Raw genomic sequence first — 11,916 nt, 5'->3', positions numbered from 1 at the left:
TACGTTAAAGCCAAGAGCTTCTCCTCTCCCTTTTTCAATTTAGAAATGAGACAAGATCAGCCAAAAAAATAAACATCTACCAGTCAAATATTCTCATTTCAGCTCTGCCCCAACTTAGGGTGTCCTTATATTACATTGCAAGTATCTAATAAATTGAATAATATAGAAAAAGTCTAGATCAGGGCTCCTAACTGGGATACCGAAGTCAAGCGATGAATGGAAAACCTTTTCCTAGTCACTAACTTCTGTGACACGTTACCCACAAAATCTACAGGTATTTTCAATGAGGATGAATGTGTAGTTCAATGGCAGTGACCCATCCCCACCCCTCCTGCTGAACTACATCACTGAGGCCTGGGTGAGAGTGGCCAAAGCTAATGAGAACAATGAATATCACCTTCTTATAAAATGGAGAGGAGCTCCTTGGCCTCTGTCATTCAACTAAAAACTCACTCTCAACTTCCTCTAGAATTTTCAAAATATAATTTTTAAGTGCGGTCCAAGATCATCTGGATAACGACCTTTGTCTTTCACTTCTTACTGTCTCAGTAGATCAATTCTTCCTGAAATGTTCTGCAAATCTCAGTCTTCTTGGATTTCAGTTTTGATATCTCTTAGTGAGGAAACGTTATACATAACTACATCTTAGTACTAAGATGGAGACCATCTAATACAATATTGTATTTTACTCAAGACTGGCTTCTCAAAGCATGGTGCATGATGGTGGAATTGGTTGTTCTCAAAATCACCAAATAAATAGTACCTGAGATAATCCATTTTAGTCAAATATTTGGAGGAAAATATATCTTTGTATGAAAATAATTACAAATATATACTATGGTATAGAAGAGGAGCAAAATATCTATGAGTATCAAGACAAAAATGAAGATTACCAAGAAATTTTTATTGGCCAATTTGAAGCTATGAACCAGATCACCATGGGTAGCAGGATCACTGTTGTCTGTGGGAGATAGACCACCCAGGGAAGGGGGACATGTCTCCTCTCTTCTGCCATGTATAGTACTTTAATGGAGAAATCTGAGAAATATTGACATCATGTTTACAGTAAGGATGTTTTAGAGTAAGGAAAATGGTTGCTTCATGAAAGCCCTGGAGCCATGTTTCCTCAAGAGTGCTCCACTTACCACTAGTTATGCAGAAATGATTTTAGGAAATACATGAAATTAGCACTTCATATTTTAATGTATTTGAATATTTTTCTCTATTTATGGCAAGTTATGCACATGTTCCTCATTTTAAAATTTGTCTTTAACTTAAATGAGCTGAACAAAAAGAAAAAGATTAAATATGATGACACACAGTAAAAGATACAATAAAATCATGAAGGTGGTAAGTGAATGACTGAATTTAAACAAATACTATAGTAATTTAAATTTTTTTATTTAAATTTGTTATTTATAAAATAATTAACAATATTATAAAATATAACCTACCTTTATAATATTCCTCTACTTAATAACATTAAGAAATGCCATACTGGGTCAGCCCCATGGCCTAATTATTAGATCTAAAAAAAGCTCCAAGTAATATTTATTTCCTCATAAATTTATTGAGCATCTACTATGTACTATGGAGAGAGGCCTTATCTAGCCTTACTTAAAGAAGCTATAAGTCCAATGAGAAAGCAGACTCATGCCAAACTCATGCAATCAAGGTCATCATTTTGATGATGGTAAGACCCAAAAGGTTCTAAGAGAGACTAGATGCAGTAACAAATAAAGTGTGCTAGATTTGGGGCCAGAGAAGGCATTACAGAGTAGGTGACACTGGAGTTAAAGCTTAAAATCAATGTAAGTTTACAGAGACCAGTACATTCAAAGGCATAGCTGCCTTTCATAAAAGCAATGACACAAGTTACTGAATAAAACTTAAACATATGTAGATTATTTTAACAGTTTCTGACTTTAGTTCCAGAATGGATTATCTTATTTCTATTCTTTCCCAGTCCAAAAAATGGTCATATCTGTCATTTTTAAGGAAGAAGTTTTAGGAGAGTGGGTAGTCTCCTTTCTTGTGTATGCAGCCTCTTTGTAACATATTCAGGGCATGCCTGGTGTCTTCAGATGTACCTTTTGCTGAAAGGGACTAAAGTTTATGAGAATGAAGAGCCTTGAACAGGGCAGACCATCATCAGCACAGTCACATCCCCTCTCTTCTCACAGAATACTTCCCCTGGGTTCTTCACTCATCCAAATGCCATTCCTTTTTAAAGAGGACATCTGAGCCCTAATTTTAAAATGTTTTAAACTTATCCAATCCTGGTTCATAACTCTCTTTCCTGGAAACCTGAAGGACATTCTCGCCTAGTTATCTAGTGATTTCAAGGCAGTAAGACTCAAATTCTCTACCGAATTATAAGCCAATGAGGCTCAGGGACCAACATATAACATAGAATTTCTCACAGATTGCAATACAGTGCTGAACTTCATTTATTTTGGAGTTTGAGATGCTATAGCTCAAACAAGAAAGCTGGTCAAAAAGAAAGATGTGAATTCTAGCACTTTGGGTTAATGCAGGATGACTGCTTGAGCCCAGGAGTTCAAGACCAGCCTGATCAACAAAGTGAGATCCCATCTCTACAAAAAAAAAAAAAAAAAAAAAAAACCGAAAGAAATATTAATTTAAAAAGAGAAAAAGGATGTGAGATGTGACTCAGCAGCAAACACCTTAAAGATTTGAACTTCTATACACAGTCAACCCACATAACTCCCCCTATGTCTATTACCAAAATAAAAGGGTAGGACACCTGCTCTCTATCTCCACTGCCATTACCATCACCTAATAATATAATATGCATGTCCTTTTTTTTTTTTGAGATGGCGTCTCACTCTGTCGCCCAGGCTGGAGTGCAGTGTCACGATCTCAGCTCACTGCAAGCTCTGCCTCCTGGGTTCACGCCATTCTCCTGCCTCAGCCTCCCGAGTAGCTGGGACTATAGGCGCCTTCCACCACACCCAGCTAATTTTTTGTATTTTTAGTAGAGACGGGGTTTCATCGTGTTAGCCAGGATGGTCTCGATCTCCTGACCTTGTGATCCGCCTCCCTCGGCCTCCCAAAGTGCTGGGATTACAGGTGTGAGCCACCACGCCTGGCCTGCATGTCCTCTTAATTTCCTCTCTCCTACTGCTTAAAGTTACCTTGATGTTTTCAGACACAAACAAAATTAGCACTCAATACATCAAGGCTATAGAAAGATGTAGAAGTCAACTCTCAGAGAGCTTATCATTTATTAGTTGAGACAAGAATGTACATAACTATAATACAAGGCAGAAAATAACTCTTAAACAAGAAATCCTCCCTTGGGCAAGGCAGCAAATACTACTTACAGAATATTAATTATAAACTGACTTGATGTAATTTCCTATTGTGTGACAATGACTCATTCACCAAAACACACCTGGTCAGCATTTTGGGGGCCTGAAGCATCCTATCTGTAGTTCTGTAAGTCAATACATTGGCAAGAAGCTCTGGGGAAGAGATCACCAGACCTATTCTTGACAGGAAGGTTTTCCTTTACACGTGATCTGTGATAACTCTTTTACCCACACCAGAGAGCATCCAAGGAGTATATTCTTGGTTCTCACTAAAGATTTGGTGAATACAAAAAAGGTTAAAGGGTGGAAGACTCCTTAATGACTTCTTTAGAAACAACTTGGAATAGAATGAATTCTGGTTCCAAAGACCCTTGGGAAAATTTCCTTTGGATGAACTCCAAGAGTTAGAGAGATCAAATGGATTTGAGTACTGTCCTTACCACTTCTGGGCACTCCAAACTGCCTCCTTCTTCCCCAAATCTCTTTTGTTATTGAAGAGGCAGACACCAGAATTTCATAGATCTACATTCCTTTCCTTTTGAATATCAGAAATGGTTAATGACATGGCAACAACAGGATATCTGATGACTTAACCCCATTTGCATCACAATTCTCCCAGGATAGACCACCTTTCCAGAAATGGCCCTTAAGGAAATTCCAAATATATGTGGGCCTGTAAATCTCAGTTATTGACCTGGCATGCAACTCCATCTGCCACCTACTATAACTCAATGCCAAGCATCTCACAAATTGAAATCTCATTAAGACGTCTCCAGACGTCTTTGCTCTCCTCATATAAAAGGTGGCAGAAAACATTCTCAATTGGCAACCCTTATGCCCATCACAACCCTGGCTGCTATAACTACACACATGAATATCTTTGTAAAACTGATCCAAGGAGCAGCTAGAAATACCTTTTTGGACAGCCATCTGGGTCTGCCTTAGTGTCTTGCTCACTTGCCAGCATTTCATCATCCTTAGCTTCCCCACCCAGAACTGAGCACAGTGCCTGACACATAGTGGGTGCTCAGAAATGGAAATGACTGAGAAATAATTCTATTCTACTAATTTTTTATCTCATCTATTTTCCCAAATTCAATTTAGTTTAACCCCACTATGAAAAAGTTACCTAAGTTTATTTGGTCCAGATCAGAGATGGGACAAAGTTGAACATGATGCCCAATTGTAATCAATAGAAAAATTACAAGCAGAAGGCAATGAATGTCTCTAGAGTTGGCTGTTGTAGCATTGTATGAACCCACCTAATATACTCCATAGCTCAACAGCATTTGTGTATATACAAATAATGGATACTCATTCAATAGTTATATATACACAACTATTATTTGTATATATACAAATAATGGATACTCATTCAATAGTTATATATACACAACTATTATTTGTATATCTACAAATAGTTGAATCCTTACCTTAGGTCCTCAAAAAAACCTAAAATACCTTGGAATTAGAACTTGATTTATCTGGCTTAATATAGCCATCGACGATTTCATTACATATTTATTGCAAGGACTGTGTACCACATCTGGAAGTTGTGTGACCAAACAGGTCTAGTAGATATGAGGGATGGGAGAATTAGAGAATAGAAAGTAGTCTGCTATGCCAGTGAAGTTGGCATAATGTGTGCTCTATATTCAAATGTGAATAGAATTTCTTTAAGTGTGGTGTTTTTATTCCAACTTCTTTCTATAGCTATCTAACATAGTTATTCCTCTCTGAAGTTAAGTGAACATATGTACTTTTTAAAAAATGCAATACCAACACTTACCAGACAACTATCATATTCCTGACATCGGCCTATATGTTTAACATTCATTCACTTACATAACCTCTCAACAGGCTTTTCAAGTAAGTAATATTTTCCCTATTTTATAGACTAAGAAACTGAGGCTCAGAGATTAAGAAACTTACCAAACATCACAGAATTCACTAACAGATGAGGGATTCAAACAGTTCTCTTTGATTCCTACCCATGCCCATCACATTACCTTTTAACTGACTTTTAAAGAAAATAAAAATGGTGCTAGTTGTAGCCACCAAAAACAGGTGGAAATAACCTTCAAAGGAAAAACTGAAAACGTAAGCTTTTCTTCACAATAGAACAGTACCATTAGTAACAGCAGAATGGAGAGGCTGAAATGAATGAGTACGCTTATTTTCAAGATCAGAGAAGAAAGGCTGAGAATGAGCTGTACTCTGGAGGTATGGATGTGCAACAGACAAAGAAAGCAAGCTTACTTCCGGTATCACTTATTCCATCTTCTCTACACTTTCATAGTACCTCTGAACCCTAGACCTCTCATGTATGGTTCCTACAAGAAATCAATTTATTGTCAACAAATATATTTGATGGTAGTTACCTCTTCCAAAAAGATAAACAAAATGTACATTCTTGAGGTCCCTGATGTTATCCACCTTCCTATATTTCAAGACTAACAAGAGTCTTTTAACAACTTCTCCCAGAGATATTGCCAGAAAAACAGCTTGTTTCTGGGCCTGGCCTGGCCAACCCTTATAGGTTAGTTGTTTTCAACCCCAGAAACACATGAGAATGACCTTAAGAACTGGTTTTAAATACTCATTTCCTGGGCCTCATTCCCAGAGATTCTGATTCAGTTGGCCGGAGGTGGGTTCTGGCCACTAGCATTTTTTCATTCTCCCCAGGTTGTTTTCATGTGCAGCCAGGATTGAGAATCACTGGCTTGTGCCCTCTGCCCCACCCCTACCACAGACATACATACTCCTACCATCTAATATCCCTAACTGCTAGAAAATGCTAAAGATTGATGATGGGCCAATATACCCATCAAGATACCCCATCTTCTTGAACATTCTCCTTTTCTCCTCTTTTACTTCCCATATCTCTTTCTTTTGCTAAAATGCTTCACTCAAAAACTACACTCAAAAATTCTCATGGGCAAGTAGTTCAGACAGGCAAGAAATACCTTACTTACCTGCCCCTGCATATATTCCCACTTTTGCCTATTTTTATACTATAATACTTTGGGATAGTTAATGGGAAGATCAAACTCCCAAGAGTCTTCGAAGAAAATACCCAAATAGTTTGGAGACTTGCTTGCTTGTTCCATAGACTTAATTTCCTGCAGTGGCAATATTGTAGTTACGAACTTTCATTTAGGAAGGAATGTGACAACGTCAGATTGCCTTAGCCTCACAGAGGGGCATAATGCCAGGCTCCTGGGAGTATCCAAAAGCAGAGAAAGAGACATCACAATCATCCAAATTAAGTCACCATCCTTGTATGCGTGTGCTGTCTGATAGCCACTGTGCTGTGTGATGGGATCCGTAGAGTCTGCATGAGCTAGAGCCACCACATACAGAAAATTCAGGATCTACGTGAAAATTCCACTTATAAACATGAGAAGATCTGTAACAGCATATGACAAAACCCTAATTAATGAGGAGAGAAAGGAAGGAATTACATATAGACAAATTTTGATCCCAACACTTCAGGCTGTCTTGCTCATTGAATCATTACACTTACACAACTATTTCCATTTCAAAGATGAAGGAACTAAGGCTCAGAAAAGTTAACCTGGATCAATAAGCGCTTGGGTAGAAAACCCACATTCAAATCCTGACAGCCTTACTGGCTACAAGCCATGTGATCTTAGATAAGTTCTTTTTTTCTGAGTTTGTTTCCCCACCTGTAAAATGTAAAGGTAATAAGATCTCCTATTCAGTTGAAGTGAAAATTAAGTAAAAATATAAATCTAGTGTAATAATCAAAACTCATTAAGTAATCCCTGTCTAAAAGGTTATAGTATCTGGAATTTATGCAACATAGCATAACAAGTGTCACAGCCAAGCAATAAACTCGGGTCTGTAAAACTCCATTCCCTTTCTACAACACAAGACACTGGAGACCAAAACAATTCAAAGGAAAAAGTGATGAGGTGCACTGAGAAATTCAGGGAATACTCCAAAGCTGCAGAGGTAAGAAGTTAACTAAGCATCAAAAAAAGAATTTAGATAAGTAAGACTTTTATGTTCTTCACTTTGCGGCTGGGCTAAATCCCTGAAATATCCCATTTTGGTAACTAACATCAGAAATTATATTCAATTGCTCTTTTGATAGACAGCTACAAACTTTAGCATGATGTTAAGCAGTTATGACAAAGAGCAGAGAACAAAAATTAGGATGGTAAAATCACCAATCCCGAGTCCAAATCCCTCTGCTAAATCTATTAACACACCAGTAATTTGCTCTTCAAGCTCTGGTCACTTTGAGCCAGGCCTCGCAAAGGGCGAGGCATGGCCACGCTTCTCTCTAAGGGCAGACACAGACAGACCAGAGCCCCTGGAAACTCTTGACATCTGTGAAATCTGTGAGTGAAAGGGCACATCTTGGAGTGTGCCTGCTCTTGCAGCTACCTTCCAAGGTGCCTGAACCACTCCTCTTAATGAACTCCACATGCTGCCAGTTATTTATAGCATCACCCCAGTGTGTGTTTTGTTAAAGCCTCTAGATCATATTTCTGAGCTGTGTAAGTCAATTTCCTACAATTGGCCCATTAAATTTTGCCTCCCTTTCCTCCTCCTCCACATTCTTGGAAATCCATGGCTGACTATACAAACAAATGTACAGACTTATCAAAATATTTTGAAGCCATTATTTGCCCTCTCTGTTTTTCTTATGAATCCATAAGTGTGAATTTCTAGAGCATTGTCTTCCTGGAAACTTACATCTGACAGGGCAATTCAACAGAAGGATAATTCAGTTGAAGGAGCAGAAAAGGAAGATTCTAAGGAGACGGGCAAGGTGGTCAGCTAAGTTAGCTCATATATAAATGGAAACTAAGCCAGAAAAAAAAATGCAGCAGGAAAGCAAAACAAAACAAAACAAAACAAAAAATCTTTAGACAAAAGAACAACAGAAAAAACCGGAGCAGAGGCAAAAGAGGGTGAAGTAAATAATTAAACTAAAAAATACCCACAGAAAATGCAGAAGCTAAAAAGAAGAGAACCCACTCTCTGGTGGCATAAAACAGAAAGAAGCCAAGTCTGTGTGACATCACATCTTACCAGTCCTTACCTCCCTTCTGGTAAAATGCAGAGGAAAACTTTTATCAACATTTTATAAATGCACGTATTTCAGTAACTCTAGAAATGCATTTTCCAAAAGGAAAGAATTCCACCTCATCCCATTTTAAAAACATATTTCAATAAGCGCAAATGCTTTCTTTTTCTTTTTTTTTTTTGAAGATGTGAAATCTTGTACTGGTCGTTGGTTGTTTCTCTTTCAGTACAATCAGAAAATAGTGGAATACTGAATTATGGGAAGCTTCCATTATCTCAGGTGTCAACATTCCATAGGTTGGTGTGGGGGCAGTTTTTATGTTCTATAATACAAAGCATACTAAATGGAATAAATGGAAATTTAGAGTCACAGTTAAACATTCGACTTATGTCTTCTCTTTTAAGCATTTTAAACTACCTCTATTATATTGATTTTTAGAAGAATTGTTTTCTAAAGAAAACTGCTTCCTGATGTTGGCGCAGGTGGGCTCTCTGTGATATCTGCGGCCATGGTAGTCCATTTTTCCTACTAACTTTGTTAATGTCCTGAGAAAAACTAGAAATTTGAATAGGTAGGATATGGGGTATATGATATTAATTATGAATTATTGGAACTTACATTGTGTACAAATGGCTCACAATATCTGTCTACTGATAAAAATATAATCTCAACATTTTAAGAAATCTAAGTACATATTAGGATTACTTTCCTCAATTTCTTTGTGTTAATAGGATATAAAGAATAGGATTTCCCAGAAGAAGAGACATTTTTATCCCAGTAATCCGTAAGTTTCTGTTTTGGCTTGGTTTTGGTTTTTGCTAAGATTCACAGGCTTTACTATGTTTTAGGCACTAGTGCCTTTCTCATTTAATTCGTATTACAATCTTGAATTAGATATTATGACATTTTACAGACAATAAAATGGGGTGTAGAGAGATGTATCCAGAGCTGCACAGCTAGTGGACGTCTGAGCAGGAGCCACATGCAGAAGAGTCTGACTCCAGGGCCTCAGCGTGTAATGCCCTACACCTGCTGCATGGGTTTACATTTCCAGCTGCTTTAAAGTTAAGACTATGGATGTCTGAACAGCTCTTTTTCCTTAGAGCATAAAACTAAACTAACCTAATGTTTTTTTTTTTTTAACAGTGCTGTGTTTAGTCATTCCTCCCAATGCCAGTGATCCCTTAAATCTGGGTGTTGTCCATCATCATCCCTGCCCGTCTCCGTGCATCCACAACTGCCACATCCTGAGAGCTCAGTCCATCATGTGAGCCTCCATAAAGGCTCCTCCATGCAGCCCCCTCCCCTCCATCTTCTCCCCTGCCCTGTAGCAGCCTCTCCTGAGTCCTCCCTTAGACCATTGCAATAGCCTCTGTATTTGAAAGAAGTCTCTGAATTCAAGGGACACAAACTCCTCTCAAAGTGATCTAGGTAAAAGAGTGTGACCTAATGGACACTGGGAGGAAGGGCTACAGAACAGAAGGCTGATGCAACCTCCGGGCCTTGGGAAGAACTGGGAATAAGGCTCTCCTGCCTTCCCACCTCTTGCCTCTTCTTCTCTGCTTATCCCGTCACTTTCATTCATTCTCTCTGAGCATATGGCATACCCTACATGTCAGGAAACACCACTACCTAGGGCTCTCAGGAGTGCCAGCCCACAGCTTCTACAATAGCAAGAGATACAGTTATAGAACCAAACTTGGGTCCACTCACTCAGTACAGTAAGACCAGATGTGCACACTGAGATTTTGCAGCCACAGGAAGGAAGTTGTTTATTTGCAGGGCACCAAGCAAGGAGGAACAGGCAGCTAATTCTTATATCCTGACCTCAATGGCTTGCAAGTAAGGGTTTTGAAAGGCAGGTGTAAATTTCAGGAATGCAGAAGTTACAGGCAAAATCATAAATCAATACATGGAGGTTATACGTTAGTGTTGGCCTAAAAGGGTGGGATATTTTGAAGCGTGGGTTTACACATCTTGGGTAGATTCAATGATTTTCTTATTTTCAATTGGTTGAGGAAGAGAAGCTTTGTTTAAAAATTTGGAGTCAGCAGAAAATAATGTTAGCTCTGGCTCATGGGTGTGGCTCCCTCCAGGACCCCTGGGAAAAAATTTACAAGAATGGTGGTCAGAGTTTAGTCTTCAGGTCTCTCTTATCTGAGGTCTACGTGCCAGTGGATCCAATTGGTGGGGGTGTGGGTTTCTGAACAACAACTTGGGGACATATGTTAATATGTTATCATAAGAATTACCCCCATTTTTCTAACAGTTCATTTTTTCTCTTTTTCTTTTCTTCCTTCCTTTTCTCCACTTTCTACGTATCTCTTTAGAAATGCAATTATAGCCTTTTACCTCCTCCTCACCAGATACTCTCTACAGGGCAAGTTCATCAAACTGTGTGCTTAGAAGCTCTGGAGCAGAACTCTCACCCACCAGAAGATTGCCTCAAGAGATAAAAGATGATTTACAACCCAAAGTATGCCCACTAGAGGTTTTGGCCATTTTTACAATGTATTCCTGCCCATGAAGATGCCAACTTGACTGCCCAATACATAAAGCACCAAAGCAAGTATGCGGACCCCCCCACACCTCCTCACTTCTGCTCCTGTGTAGACCCCCATCTTTAAAAGCACTTACTTTCTCCTGCAAAAGCAAATCAGACCCTTACAGCAGGAAGGCTTTTCTTCTTCTCCTAAACTAGCTTTGGAATAAAAAGTTATTTTCTTTATACCAGACCTCACTCGTGTTAATTGGACCCTGCAAATGGCATGTGACTGAACCTGTGTTTGGTTACATTATCTTTAGTTTCTAGTGAAACCAAGCATCCCCTGATTCTAACTTCCTTGTTATTGTTTTAGGTTACTATTACCTTCTTGTTTATCAAGTTCACATTTACTTCTTAGGGCTAGCTAGGTGCCTGGAATTTCCCTTGAAAGAACTCAGGATTTTCCTTGGTTTCTATGCTTGGGGGACTACAGGGCCCTAAAAGGGGGCCCCTCCTCTGTCTCAACACCCTAATTCCCAGAATCTGTTTGGAACAAAGACTCGCAGAGAAGCATACCTCTAGATCAACCAAACGCGGTGAAGGAGCAGGGTCAGGTAAGGACATGGAAACACACGCTTGGAATTGGAGGGGTACAGTTCCCAGAACAAGCTGTTGCTTTTCCAACCTCTATGGATTTGCCCTTGCTGTTCCCTCCTTCATACCCACCTCATGATCTCTCCTCACAACCTTCACACAAGACCATCTTAAATAGCACCAGCCAGGAGTCTTATTCCATCACCTCCAAGGGGCCTCTGTTCTTTGAATCCCCCACCCCACTGCAATAGTTGTTTCCTCCCTTAGGACACTTCCTTACTTACATTAACAATAGTGTTTGCAAGTTTCCTGGCAGAATTAAACTCCTTGAGAGGAGATCTTAATCACTTGTATATTCCCCAGAAATATCAAGCAAAATTCTTGCCTACTACAGGAACGCCATAATTGTTTTCTGAATGGCTGAATGCACGAATATAATT

General features: G+C 38.9%; 1 long non-coding RNA gene across 8 annotated transcripts; it reads left to right on the top strand.

Moving 5' to 3' along the window:
* Positions 1-8,790: 8,790 nt before the first annotated feature.
* LOC102724253 (uncharacterized) lies at positions 8,791-10,861 on the top strand. 8 transcript variants are annotated; one of them, XR_932124.3, is made up of 5 exons: positions 8,794-8,879; positions 9,129-9,181; positions 9,311-9,412; positions 9,544-9,664; positions 10,728-10,848. It is a non-coding gene; the product is annotated as an uncharacterized LOC102724253 (long non-coding RNA). The 8 variants fall into 8 exon arrangements; XR_007064585.1 differs by lacking the exon at positions 8,794-8,879 and adding an exon at positions 8,880-8,968 and having other exon boundaries at positions 10,777-10,861; XR_932122.3 differs by lacking the exon at positions 8,794-8,879 and adding an exon at positions 8,880-8,968.
* The last annotated feature ends 1,055 nt before the right edge of the window (positions 10,862-11,916 follow it).

Source organism: Homo sapiens, chromosome 15, assembly GCF_000001405.40.
Source record: "Homo sapiens chromosome 15, GRCh38.p14 Primary Assembly".
Classification (NCBI taxonomy): Eukaryota; Metazoa; Chordata; class Mammalia; order Primates; family Hominidae; genus Homo; species Homo sapiens.
Note: the sequence above shows the minus strand (reverse complement) of the source record. Positions and strands in the feature narration are given on the sequence as shown.